The 13,861-nt window shown below is 45.1% G+C and overlaps 1 protein-coding gene across 9 annotated transcripts in view, besides 1 other annotated feature; it reads left to right on the top strand.

Moving 5' to 3' along the window:
• TENM4 (teneurin transmembrane protein 4) overlaps window positions 1–13,861 on the top strand; it is a 788,202-nt gene that overhangs the window by 405,760 nt on the left and 368,581 nt on the right. The window lies entirely within an intron of this gene.
• Window positions 9,165–9,809: an enhancer, noted in NCBI's record as "OCT4-NANOG-H3K4me1 hESC enhancer chr11:78736507-78737151 (GRCh37/hg19 assembly coordinates)". NCBI's record gives its function as "activates a minimal SCP1, AML or CMV promoter by ChIP-STARR-seq in naive H9 embryonic stem cells {active_cell/tissue: H9 hESC(naive)}" and the evidence as "EXISTENCE:reporter gene assay evidence [ECO:0000049][PMID:30033119]".

Raw genomic sequence — 13,861 nt, 5'->3', positions numbered from 1 at the left:
CCGTGTCCCCTGTGGATTCTGCAAGATGAGCACCATGGCCATTGCACAGCCGAGCAGCAGAGGCTGGGGAGGTCAAGGAACTTGCCCAAGGTTAAGGGAGGAGTGAACCCGGATTCAGACCTCATCTTGTGACTGTCCTCTGCACTGCTTGGCTCAGAACAGCAGAGGCAATATTATGGTCTGAAGATTAACAATAAGGTTTAGGCCAACTCAAAGGCCTCATGTCCTTGCATGTTCTAGAGCAGTACTTTTTCAAGTGTTTAGGGGATGTGCTCTGCAAGGGATGAGGGGACCTTAGCCCCAGCCCTCTGTAGCTCCTCAGACCCCCTCCAGTAGCCTCTGGGATCCTGTTGAGCACAGTGTGAAAGCCAGTTTTGAGCAGAGGTTCTGAAAGTTCTATGAAAACTAGTTCCCCAGATGTCCTGAGGAATAAAGGTTTCCAGGTAAGTTTGAGACCCTTCGCTCACCATGTCTGCTCTTAGAGGTCCGTGCATATCATCATGGTCCACGTATGCCAGTCCCACAGCCATGTGCTCACCTTGTTATCCAGGCATTTTCCAGGCCCGTCTGACCACAGACAGCTTTCTATGGAGCACCCGTTAGCATCTTACAGATAGAGTGTTCCAAAAGACAGTTTTGAGATGCTTTTTAGGCCCCATAGATACCTAATTTAAAAAAAAATTTTTTTTAATTAAACTTCCACAATATTTTCTACATGGTGGTTTCAGATTTCTTCAGAACATTTTGTTCTTTAAAAAAAATTCCTAGAAAGCTAAAAATGTCTGTAATTATCCTCACAACAAGAGCAGGATCTCCAGCGTGTGCCTCTGAGTGCTGGAGGTTAATAAGGATTGCGCCTTCATAAGGCAGCAGAATAGCATTTGTGGTTACACTAGTTAAGGATGCTACAAATTACAAGGCCCTCTCAGCCCCAGCATGCAGTGGGAAAGGAAAGACAGTGAACTCAGAAACTGACATGCAGAAGTGGTCCAACCACTGTACACACTTCAGGGTGGTAGTTTTTAACTTTTTCCATATACATGATGAAAGCTTCTTTGAAATTGAGCCTTCATAAGTGGGCATAAAATGCTGAAATTTCTACAACTGTAAAAATGCTTGTATGTCGCTCTGCAGTTTGCAAAAATGCTTTCACCTCCATGTCCTCAAAATAGACCTGAGTGAGCTGCATGTTATTACTCCCATTTTACAGATAAGGAAACTGAGAATCAGCTCCTAAAAGGCAGCATGGTGACCCAACCCTGCTCTTTTCACGCTCCATCCTGTATTGTTTCCATTACGCTAAATGCCTCCTATGATTAATGATTGTGGTAAGCCCTAGATTTTTTGAAATAGAGCTGATTTCAGGGAATTTAAACACGAAAGTCAGTTCATTAAGTGCTTAGCAAAATGTAGTTTATTTGTATCTTTTTAGGACCCTCCAAATAAATCACTTCATAAATTTTAAGTTCACAAATCAAATCAAGTCTATTTATTTATTTATATTTGCTTAGAAAATAGATTTCTAGTGCTCTGATAGCAAAACCAGCTACTTTTACTAGTGTCCATGTTAAATATGAGAACATCCATGGACTGAAGCTCTTATGGGACAAATTCCCACCTGTCCAAGTAGGCATCATCAGGTTTTATTGACCCACTGGAAAGAGACTGTTTATGGTGCAAGACACAGCTTGGTGGATGGACCAGGAAAACTTGTGCTTTGGCACCATGTAATCCCAGCTCTCTAGTAGCCATTTCATTATCAGTGAACCAGGGACCATAATACTTTGTTCACCGCATTGTTGGGAGGACTAACCCTGTGAGTGTAAGTGCCTTGTGCAGAGTAGGAGATCAGGAAATATTAGTATCCTTCCTTCTTGGGTACAAGCAGGACAGGAAAACAGAACTTAATTCTTCCTTCCCAGCACACATACCCCATTTCTCCTCTGGTGTGCACATTTTCCCCTAGGAACTTGACCTCCAGGAACCTGGTTTTGACAAATCAACAAATACTTATTGGGCACCTGCTGTATGGCTGTCCCTGTGCCAAGCACTAGGGATGGATCTCGCAGTCTAGAGGAGAAGAAGGGTGACCCAATAAACAAATTCATTACATATTGGGGTCTTTGCATAGATATCTAGTAGGTCATCAAGTGGTACAGATTTAGTTCTTCCCTGAGGAGTGGGGATAAAAATGCCTTAGAGGGTAGATGCTGCAGGAACAGTCTCCAGGTGGAGGGAGGTTGAGGAGCAGAGGGAATTTTACTGCTCTGTGACTTGTTAGATGACCCCACTTCTCTGGCTGAGCCTGTGGTCTTTAATTTCCACTCCAAATAAGCCAGTCACCAGCATGTTCTCCCTGGACAAGTGAATAACAACTTTTTGTCGTGAAAATAATTCTCAGGGGCCTGAGGAATGGGGAAAAAAATATCAGTCCCTATTTGTGGTGCTCATCTTTTCATTTATTAGTATCGCCTTTCCTTGGGACATTAGGGGAGAAGTATTCTAACTCTTTTAAAGTCATGTTGTTCTTTGGATCTTAGGGGGATCCCCCATGAATGCTTAAATACAGTATCTTCAAGCAATTATCTTTCTGTTGAAGGTGAATGAGCCACAGACTCCCACCAGAACCTTCTAGTAGGCTCTGGCTCCCTAAGCAGTGGTCAGTCTAAGGGGAACGGCGCCTGATTACCTGGACATTTGAAAGGCTTTCACGTCATTCATGCCTATCACACACTTCTCACTGCAGGAGGCGCCTTTTAGAAACTTATATCACCAGAGGCTCTTTCTCATAGAAAAAGCACTAGGCTGGCAGTCCGGAGATCTGTGCTTCCAGGCCTGTACTTGCCCTGTGACCCTGGACAGCCATTTTCTTCTCAGACTTCAGCTGCTTCACCTGTAAGATAAAGCAGGGGGACAAGAGGCTCCTATGGACCCTTCGAGGTCTACATCCAGGGTTACAAATTCCAGAAGGCTAAAGGGAAGTCCCCGGCCTGGTGCCCCCCGCCTCAGGGTGATTACTGCTGTGATCTCACATCTCCAGCTGGACTGTACAATGGATTGTGTTCCCATTGGCCTTCTCTGAATCCCAAACCCCTGTCATCAGTTTTAAGGAACAAAAGTACAAGATGGTAGTTATCTGCTTATATGTGTCAGTACTCAATAAATCTTTACTGATGGTAGTAATCTTAATTATGGTGACTAAAATACATCTAAGTGAGGCCTGAGATTCAGGATCAAGGGAGCAGTGGTACTCCCATAGGCTACAGAAAAGGGCTTTTCAACCCTCACATTTGGAGCCAGACAACGCTTTGTTGTGGAGTCTGTCTTGTGCATTGTAGGATGTTTAGTGGCATCCCTGGCTCTGGCCCATTAGATGCCAGTAACCCTTTCCCCAAGTTGTGGCAGTCCAAAATGTCTCCAAACATTGCTCTATGACCCCCTGGATAGCAAAATTGCTCATGTTAAGAACCAATGCCCTAGCATGAAAGTAGAAGCAACGTTCACTCACGTTTGCCCAGAGGCACCAAGTCTTAAGGGAGGGCATGTCCAACCCAGCATGCCCCTTTAAGCCTCTGTGCCCGCCTCACAAGTCCCACTGTCCTTCCACAGGTACAGTCCTAAACCCCTCACCTTGACCTTCTTATCCCACAATTCTGTACTCATTCACTAATTAAGCAAACTTCTGCTGCATGCCTGTTGCATGCCTGGATCGGTGCTGGATTCTGAGACAGCAGCGGTGAGCTCTCTACCCTACCACTGATTGCCCTTCTCCTTCTCTGATCCTGAGGTTGAAGGTGTGCTTCTGGCTTCCTGGTGCCTATGAGAAAGCTCCTTTCCCTGCTGACTCCCCACCCTGGCTTTAAATTCCCAGGTTCAGACCCTAGCCTGGACCATCTGTTGGGTGCAGCTGTTGCCTATGAGCCTTCATCTCTCATTACTTCTTTTCCCTATTGAATCTACTTGGGCTCCTGTCCTGAAAATTGGGTATCTCCCCTGCCCCAAATACATTATCTGTATGTAGGCATTTTGTCAGTCAGCGAGCCTTTGCTGAGCTCCTCTAATGTGCCAGGATTTGTGCTGTCTGTATCCTTACATCTCTTTATCTGTGACATCATTTGCTAAGTACTTCTGAGCCCCTCCTCCATGTCAGGCACTGTGCTGGGTGCTACGGATACAAGATTAAGCAAAACAAGACGTGGTCCCTACAATGCAGTGGGAGGGACAGGCTTTCGTCAAATAATCGATCACCCACATATATGTCCCTTTATCCACCTTCGTGTCTCCTTTCTCTGTCCTTCTCTGCCTTCCCCCCACTTTCTCTCTGTCTCGCTCCTCTTTTTGCCTCTGTCTCCTGGGTCTCTCTGGTGCTTTCCATCCTACGCCCCATCTATATCCAGCAGGGCCTTGGCGGGGGCCTGCTGAGAGGCTTCTCAGGGGCGCTGGATCTTGGTCAGAAATCTGTCACCCTGGCTTCCTCCTGGTAGGAGAATTACTGTCGTTTAAGGAGGTCTGCCGAGGCTGTTTGACAGGAGTCGGCTGGGCTGGGCAGTAAGTAAGAAGGATCACTCCTTCCTGGGGATTGTGGAAGGATACGGGGCCCATAAATCATCCACCAAGAGTCCTGCCTGAGCAGCACACGGCTTCACTCTGCTTGGCATGCAGCTCGAGGAAATTTCTAAAATTGGAGAGGACTGACACCCTGAGAAGGACAGGCTGCCAGATATCCAGTGGGGAGCTGTCTCTCCTCCCTGCCTGCTGCCGAGTTTCATTGGTGGTATGTCCAGCCGAAATGACTCTAGCTTTTTGATAGCAGCACAGCCTTCCCATAGAATCAAGCTAGGGTGGCTCCCAACCTAGCATCTCAGCCAAGGCAGTGAGAGAGGGCTTCTGAAACTTCCTGATTTCAAGTGAGGACTTGGGAACCCAACCTGGGCTCCCCTTACCCACCAGGTAAACCTGAGCTGGTCCCTTCACTTCTTCGAGGCTCAATTTCCCTTTATATATATGAGGATAATATCAAAGCTACATCCTCCCATCAGTGTGAGGAATCAAATAATCCATGTAAGTGGCTTAGCACAGTACCTGGTACATGAAAAGCTCAGTCAACACCAGCTCTGGCCCCAAGTTCCTCTCAGCTTCCTAGTCTCTTCCTCTGATTACATGCCTGATTGCCGAATGAAAAGTAGACAGGAATCTTGCTTTTAATCCAGGGCGGATTCCGATTGCCTCCCATTGAACTGGGTGGGGTTCTGCCTATTACCTTTCCCTAGATCCTTTCAAGGCCCTAAACCTCCCTTTCCCTGGGCTAGAGCAATGCAGCTGTTTAACAGCTGTTAACTTACCCTGTTCAGCAGATCAAGTTCATTGTCAGGTGATATGATTTCTCCCCATAAAGGACCCGGGGATTTCTCAAAATAAAAGCTGTTACCGAAGTGAATATGTTATTAATAGGGCTTCCTGGAGAAGAGCCCACCTGGATAGAGAAAGCTACTTGTCACAAATACCAAGTCACTCTTGTCCCGTTTTATGCCCTCCCCGTGTTTCTTTTGCCTTCCAACTTGGAAGGCACTTTCTGAATTAAGATTCCAACTGCGAAGGCCCCTCTGGGAATGAGACTGAGAAATGTTGAGGCCTGGTTTTGAGGAGTTCTAAATCACTCAGTTCTCTTGGGCCTTCCACTCCCCCAGGGGCTCTTGGGTTTCCAAGACAGCCAAGCTTCTAAGATGAAATAGATTGCTGTATTTGGACGAGAATGATTTAATGATTCAGAAAGTAGAGAACATGGACACAGGAGAAACTAAACCAGCCATACACTGCCCTCAGACACAAAGAAATTGATTGAGGGTGGGGAGGTGGCAGTCCTGGGAAAAACAAATTTGCTAACTCCATAAGAGCATTGGTTATTCGGCTCCCAGAAAACAAATTTGAAAGCAGGTGAATCTAGCAGGCGGAGGAGGCCAGGGGAAAGATTGCAGTTCTGGAAGATGCCTTGTGTATTAGCTCTCCGCTAGACTTTGAGCTCCTTAAGAGCAGAGGCTGGATCTTACTTTGTTTGCATCCCCAGCAGATAGTAAAGATAGTCAAAAAGAGGCAGCCAGCCTTCTCAAACTGCGATGAGAGTATTCTCTGGCCTGTGCAGAGATTGACAGAGAGGTAACGATGGCCTGTATTTCTGAAGATGCGAGGGGAAAAATATTTTTGTATTAAAAAATATATTTTGAAAGGATGCAAAATGTGAGTAAATTCTTAAGATGAGAATTTATTGAAATGACCACTTATGGCCAATTTCTCAAGACTCTTTAGGGCACTGGTTCTCAATCTTAATGGTGTACACATACCACTTAGTGTGCTTGTTAAACTCAGAGTCCTGAGCCTTCTACCCAGAGATTATGACTAACAATACTTCTAAAATTGAACTCAAAAAATTGCATGTTAACTAGTGCCCCACACAATATCTTTGCAACTATACTAACACCAACCTTGCCTTGGAGAGCGGGTAATACCTACCCTTCTGCTATTCAGGATTATAGTGGATGCTGTGGTGTATCACCCAGATTCTACCCAAGACCAGCAGTTCACAGCCCACAGCTACTTCATTCTCTGAGAATTGTCTTCCCCTGAAAGGAGCTGCCTTGCCCAGCCCAAGGTTAAGACCCATCCCTGGAGGCAGCTTGTCACCAGTGAGTCCTCCATGTGAAAGGTGGGAGTAGGAGTGAGGATTACAAAGACCCAACCTTCTTGACCCAATTTGAGACAACTCTGAAAGGCCAGCCCAGCTCCAGAGCTCTTGAAAAGATTGGCTGAGGCCTGTGTTGCAGCCGCATTGTAGCTCAAGTTCTCCCTCTGCCCAGTTCTGCTTTTCTCCCTCCCTTACAGGGGTTGCTCATGAGAGCAAGAAGCCTCCTGCCAGCAAATCTCCATTTCAGAGTTTATTTCCCAGGGAAGCTGACCTAGGACAAGCATACTTCAGATGGGTTTGAGCAGCATTAAACAGTGGAAAATACATAGTCTTGAGATAATATAATAATAATGGCAACTCATATTTATTGGGCTCTTACAGTGTTTTCAGTGCTTTATATTTATCTTCTCCCTAAATCTTTACAACTGCTCTGTTACTTATCCCCACTTCACAAGTGAGGAAACTGAGGTACAGGAAACTTAAGCAACTTGCCAAGGGTCACATAGTCACACAGTGGCAGAGTTGGGTTTCAAATCCATACTGTCTGGCCTAACAGACCTTTAACCACTACAATCTATGGCTTCTCAGGGTTTATTTGAGGTTCTTCCATGTGCTAGCTTTATGACCTTCCTGTGAGTGAACCCAACTGAGCTTCAGTTTCCTAACCTGTAAAATGGGCTTCATAGTACCTACATTGCAAGCGTGTTAGGGGGCTGAATTGAGGCTCAGTCGGTGTTAAGAATCTAACACATGCCTGTAGCCCAACAGGCACCAGCTGAACAGATAGGTCTAGCTATTGTGGAGTCTTGACAGGTCTCTGGTGAACACTTTTCAGGGAATGCCTGAATGAAATATGTCTCCTATGGAAAGCCCTAAGCTGGCTGGTGTTCACAGAAGGCCAGAGAAGAAATGTCCAAGGAAATGAGAGATATGGATTCGAGAGGAGGTGACTGTGTTGAACAAGACTGAGCAAAGGAAAAAATCATTTGCACCAATGCACAAATCTCAGCTGCTCAGAGCTTTTGGGAAGGCAGGAAACTAAGGATGCAGCTGAGAATGCCAGTTTCTGGCACAGTGACAAAGGATGGTCTGCTAGGGTCTAGGCCCTGTGGCCACCTAACCTACATCGCTCTCAGCCAAAAACTACTAGACTTTGACTCAAAGAGCATCTTATCCTGGCTCTGCCACAGAAGAGTTGTGTGATCCAGGGAAAGTCCACATTCCCCAATTTCAGCCTCATTTAGAAATATAGATGGGAATCAGGACTTAGGATCTCTAAGACTCTACCAGGTCAGAAACTTGGTGACTGCGTGAATCTTTGGGCTCTAATTTGGGTTGAAGTGCTAGCCCTCTGTGGTTTCAGAAGGGAAGCCACAAACCACAAACCTACTGTTAGAAGCATTTTCTGCCCTATCCTCTTCCCCTAAATTTTACAGCATTCCTTTTTAGAACTTTTAAGTCTGGATAATTCCAAGTTTAAGTCTCTTGTTCAACCCACATTTACTTCTTCTCTGCCTCCACGCTCAGCACTTAACCCCTTAAATTACACATGGGAGTGTGTAGGAACTCAGTAGGAAGTATTAGAACACCCAGGATACTGATTCACAGATCTCACTGCCTCCCTAGCCCACTCACTTACTCACATGAACTCTCTCTCTCTCTCTGTTAGAATCTATATAGAGTGGCCAGCTTTGCACAGGGTTGTTTGGATGGAAGGATCCCAGGAAATTTATTTGTTTTGCCCTTTTACCAGAGTCCAAGAAGCTGGCTTTTCTGCTGCGTGATCATCTTGATTAATTCATTTTGTGAAGGAAGCCACTCTGTAAGGTTTGGGGATCAGACCACCCAGTACTTCATTCAACCTAACAAGGAGTGATTGAATCCCTTCTCTGCGAAGCTGGACTAATAATACCCTTTCTTGGTTGCTGTGAGAAGTAGCTGAAGTAATTCATAGAAAGGACCCAACAGTGCCTGACCCAAAGTAGATATTCAAAAAAGCACTAAAAGTACTACTTCTAACACCACTGATTAGGTTCTAGGACGTCTGATCTCTCCAAAGTTTGACTTTGAAGGGCTGGAAGATGTCCTCCCTGCTCAATTCCTTTTCCTACCAGATGCCTTTGGTAGAAAATAGTCCTATGCACTGTGTCCATGGCGCTCTTGTTAAGCCTTCCTTCCACTCGCTTCCTTGGGCAATTGTTAGTTCCCTGCTACCTGATCACTGTCAGAAAGAGCTCTGCCTTGAATTCCATCTGCACACGTTTGCTTTTGTTTCTCCCTGAGATAACAGTGCCTGGTTGAACAACCCTTTCAAGTTGGTTTTACTGTAATCACTGTTACATTTTTAACTATTTCTGGCCTCACACCCAGGGTCATGTAGGACTGGTAGAATACCCTTAATGAATGTTATACATAACAAAATCGACTGTACCACCTGTAATTCCTTTCAGAACTGGGACATTTGCCCTCGTGTTCACACCTGGCCAGGCACTGCCCTGAATCCTGCTCACACATGCTGTGATCACTGACATCGTTGCCCTCGTTGGAGCACAGAGAATCGAAGGCTTACAGCATCTAGAAATATTTAAGAAAAGAGAACTGGATGGGTCTGTTGTATTTTTTTCCTCAGGGAAGACAAGTAGACATGCATACACAACACTCCCCCACATACACTCACAAGCAGAGTGCATGTGTCCCGGAGCCAGCCCCGTAGCACACACACAGATTCACATTCATTGTAATCGAGAGAGATCGGGTTTGTTCCTGTTGTTCCTGTAAAATTCCCAATTAGCCTCCATTCAGCAGAGAGTTGTCAGCCTGACAGCACCTCATTAGGACATCCCACTCCAAGCTTCAGGAATGTTGATTCAGGCAGATTAGCCGTAAAGAGCAAATGCCCACACTGGGGAGCCAGATCCTTTTGGCTTTACATAAAATGACTGCCCATGGGACCTTACACAGGCTACTTTCTGCAACCTCAGTTTCCTCATCCAGAGAATAGAGATAATAATAATACCTACCACAGAGTATCTATCCTTGCCAAAGGCTAAATGAGCTATTACCAGGAAGCTCATTAAATGATAGCTACTTATGCTGTCTCCATGGCCTTGGGCAAATCTCCCAAACTGAGATGATAATCCTTGTCCTACAGAAGTGTTTACAAAACTTCACGGAGCTAGGGGGATGTCTATTATTATTAATTATTATTAAAAAGCGCAGAACCGTCCTTAGGGCCTGTTAGGCCACACCTATGTGAAAGCCTCTAGATGTCCCCTTCTGGCAGACTGAATCACTCATTCATTCATTCATTCATTCATTCATTCATTCATTCCAGTGTTATGCCAAGTCTTCCTGGATGTGATAGGGGTAGGGGAAATAGACATGAATATGACCCCTACCCTGTCTCAGGGAATTCTCAGGCTAGTGTGAGAGACAGAGGGGTACTTAGCCAAATCTTATGGCAAGAAGTGGGGGTTCTTTGAACTGGAAGAGTCTCCCCATCCCTTTCCTTCCTCCCCTGGCATCCTCCAGGGGTTCCCAAAGGAGCATGCCAATTCTCAAAATGCTGCCTCCGGCAGGTTTTTCAAGGGATGTTGCTGTCTTCAAGAGAGGCATATCCTAACATCTTCCCCCTTCTTCTGAGGGAGGAATTGGTCTCTCTCTAAGATGCTGGTGACAAGAGCCCCGGGTAAGAATCAAGAGGCCTAGACCCATTGCTTTCTGGTGTGTGGCCCTTGGCCAAACTGTTTGGCTCCTCTGAGCCCTCATTTCCTTCTGTAGAAAATGAGGATAGTATTCTCAGTATTGCTCAAGGTGAACTCTGCAGTAATACATAAAGGCACCATACACACGAGCTGAAACATTACTCTTTGTAATAATTCAAGCAACAATGTGTGTCAATCCCTTTCCATGCCCAGGGGTATGCTAGAGTCTATGGAGGATGCAAAAGAAGCAATACTCTCAATCCACTCACCTTCTTATTGAGGAGAAAAAAATGTACACAGATGATCTAGGCAGGGAATGAGAGAGTACAAGGCCATATATCTGATTTTATGGTGTAAACCAATTTTCTATATATTAAATCTGACTTTTCCATTGAGTTACATGCTTACTCCAGAGATGTGTTTTCTTGGATGTGAATAGCTTTAGAATATCATAAGTCCTTCCATGTAAAGTACATAAACAACCCATGCTGCCCCCCCTCTCTGCTAGAGTAGTTCTCATGATCAGATGTGTTAAAGAATAGTTGAGCAAACTGTAAACCAGGGTCTTGGAAGTCTAGGGAGGCTGGAATGGAACTGAGACAGACCACAGGCCAATCACTTTTCATTCTAGGTAAAGATCCTGAGGCACAGCCAACAGAGGTGTTACAGGCAGGTGGACATTCTAAGTCAGTGGTGGAACTGGGCCAGGTACCCTGGCCACCAGACCTTTTCCAAACTTTCTCCAAGTCGTTCATTGTCTTCGTCCTTCCCACTACACAGGGGATGGGAAGGATATCTCTATTTATGGCAACTCTAAGGGAAAACTTACAAACCTCATAGATCAGGTTGAATCTTAATTCCCCTACTTTCTAACTGAATGACCTTAAAGAAGTTATTTAACTTCTCTGAACTGTGAAATAGTTCTAGCAATGCTTAATGTTTCTTTCGTGGTAGGTGCCATCGTATCTGGTAGTGGCACTTAGTAAATGCCAAAGAATGAGGCCCACCCCTGCCTATCAAGCCACATCAGGGAATAGCCAGGTAGTGAGTACTGCCCAACTGTCCAGCCATGTTTGTTCCCCAGTATTGGCCCAGCACTAAGAGCCTTCAGGAGCTCTTCCTGGTATCCACCCACCCTGGTCCACTGGGCCCTCTGCCTAGAGCACACGCTTCTCTTTATCAACCAATTACTATGTAGCTTTTTACTGCCACATTAATTAACAGTGAAGCAGATAATTGTCATTAGCTTATAGGAGCTGAAAAATAATTGATAGCTCTTTTCACACTAGTTGTAGAAAGAGTCATCATGATTTTTTTTTTTTTTTTGAGACAGAGCCTTTCTCTGTCACCCAGGCTGGAGTGCAGTGGCATGATCTTGGCTCACCACAACCTCCACCTCCCAGGTTCAAGCGATTCTCCTGCCTCAGCCTCCTGAGTAGTTGGGATTACAGGTGCACACCACTGCGCCCGGCTAATTTTTGTATTTTTTTAGTAGAGACGGGGTTTTGCCATGATGGCCAGGCTGGTCTTGAACTCCTGACCTCAGGTGATCCTCCCACCTCAGCCTCCCAAAGTGCTGGGATTACAGGCATGAGCCACCACGCCAGGCTGATAAACCTTGATTTGAATATAATTCACCCTCATTTTCATTTATCCCTAATGTGAGGGTGGTGGCATTTTCTTGACAAATGGGGATTAGGAAGGTCTAGCAGGTATCATAGGTATATCTGAGACCAAGTAAACATTCATTCAATAGATGAATAAATTTTTTAAATAAATGAAGGAGTAAACAAATGAAGTGGTTATGTTAGTGGTTAGAGGCACAGGATTTGGAGTAATAATTCAAGCAGTAATCTCTGTCAATCCTTTTTCATGCCTAAGGTTGTGACCTCAGGCAGGTTACTTCACTTCTCTGAGCTTCAGTTTCTCATGTGTTAAATGGAGGTGCTAAACTTTGTCTTACAGGGTTATTGTAATAATTAGAGATAATGTCTATAGAGTAGCCAACATAGTGAGTGGCACATTTATGTGCTCAGAAAATGGTGGTTGCTGCTACCATCATCATCACCATCTTCATCTTCATCATCTTCACCTTCTCAATATATTCATCATGCTTATCACCACAATCTTCATCCATCATCATCATCACCATCTCTTCATTGTCTTCATCATCTTCATTTTTTACAAAGTTAATTTTTGTCCTTATTTGGTATATCAGTTTCTGAAAACCAAAAATGCTATCGTGTGTGTCTTTTAAAAACCTTTTATTTGGAAATAATTGCATTTCCAGACAGGACCCTTTATTCTGCAGTTGGCAGAGTGATTGCCACAGCCACTGCCACACTGAAAGGTTTCCAGGGCCATGTGAATTGAGGAATGCATGAGAGTGCGGACTGCTCTCCCCTGGTCCTGGGACTCATTATCTTGTTTGCCTTTAATCACAAATCTGCACAAAGATCCTTTGCCGGGACTGTTTACTGCATAGCTGAGACTGGTGGCACATCCTTTGAAGGTCTGTGGATGAACAGCTGTAGAGAAGGGCACCACAGGGTCACGGAATGAAAAACAGATTCACATTCCCACCTTGGTTTTGTGTCGACTATTGGGCCTCTCTGAACCTCAGTTTCATCATCTGCAAAATGGTATCTTTATAACATCTTCCAAGGTTGCTGTGAAGATTAAATAATACAAATTCATATATGTGAAGAGTGAAACACAGTGCCTGATGTGAAATAGGTGGTCGGTAAAGCATCAGATTATTTGGTGGAGGCCAGCAAGGTGATTGGACCTCCCTAACGCTTATGTTAGGACTTAAGCCATCCATCTCTCCATGACTATGGGTTATCTCACCATCAATGTCCCTTGGTTTCTCTAGAGACAGCACGATTGAGCCAAATTGTCTGCGTATCCTCTGCCACCCTCATGCCACACACACACCTCTCCCTGGGTCTTTTACTTGCTCAACCCAAAGACAAAGGGATTTTCTTCTGAAGGTGATTTGTACTTTAAAAGCCAGTATGCTGAAGTCATGGCATTCTAGAATGTTAGTACTGTAAGGAATCTCTGATGTCCTCTTATCTAACCTCCAGACCTATGAGTGTCTCACTTTCCCTTTGAATGTTCTGGAGGCATCCCACATCATCATGTGATCACAATTACTCACCTGCAGCTGTGGCAGTGGGCACCCCATTTATACCCTATGACCATTTCAGTACAGCCAGCCCAACTTCCAAGTCTACTTTCTTCTCCTGAAGCTCTTTCTGGCCTCTAAAGGCAGCTTTGCCCATACATGGAGCAGATCAGAAGTGAAAAGGTATGAACACCCCCTGGAAGCAGCCCCCAACAAATAACTGATGGGCAGGCATATAAATACCCCAGCTCCCCCGCCCACCATCTGATGGCACAATTCTGCAACACACCCATTCTTAGGGGCCTTCCCTTCCCTATCTCACATCCCCACTCCTTTGCCTATAAGTAG

This window comes from Homo sapiens, chromosome 11 (genome assembly GCF_000001405.40).
Source record: "Homo sapiens chromosome 11, GRCh38.p14 Primary Assembly".
NCBI lineage: Eukaryota > Metazoa > Chordata > Mammalia > Primates > Hominidae > Homo > Homo sapiens.
The sequence above is the reverse complement of the archived record's forward strand: the minus strand, read 5'-3'. Positions and strand labels throughout refer to the sequence as shown.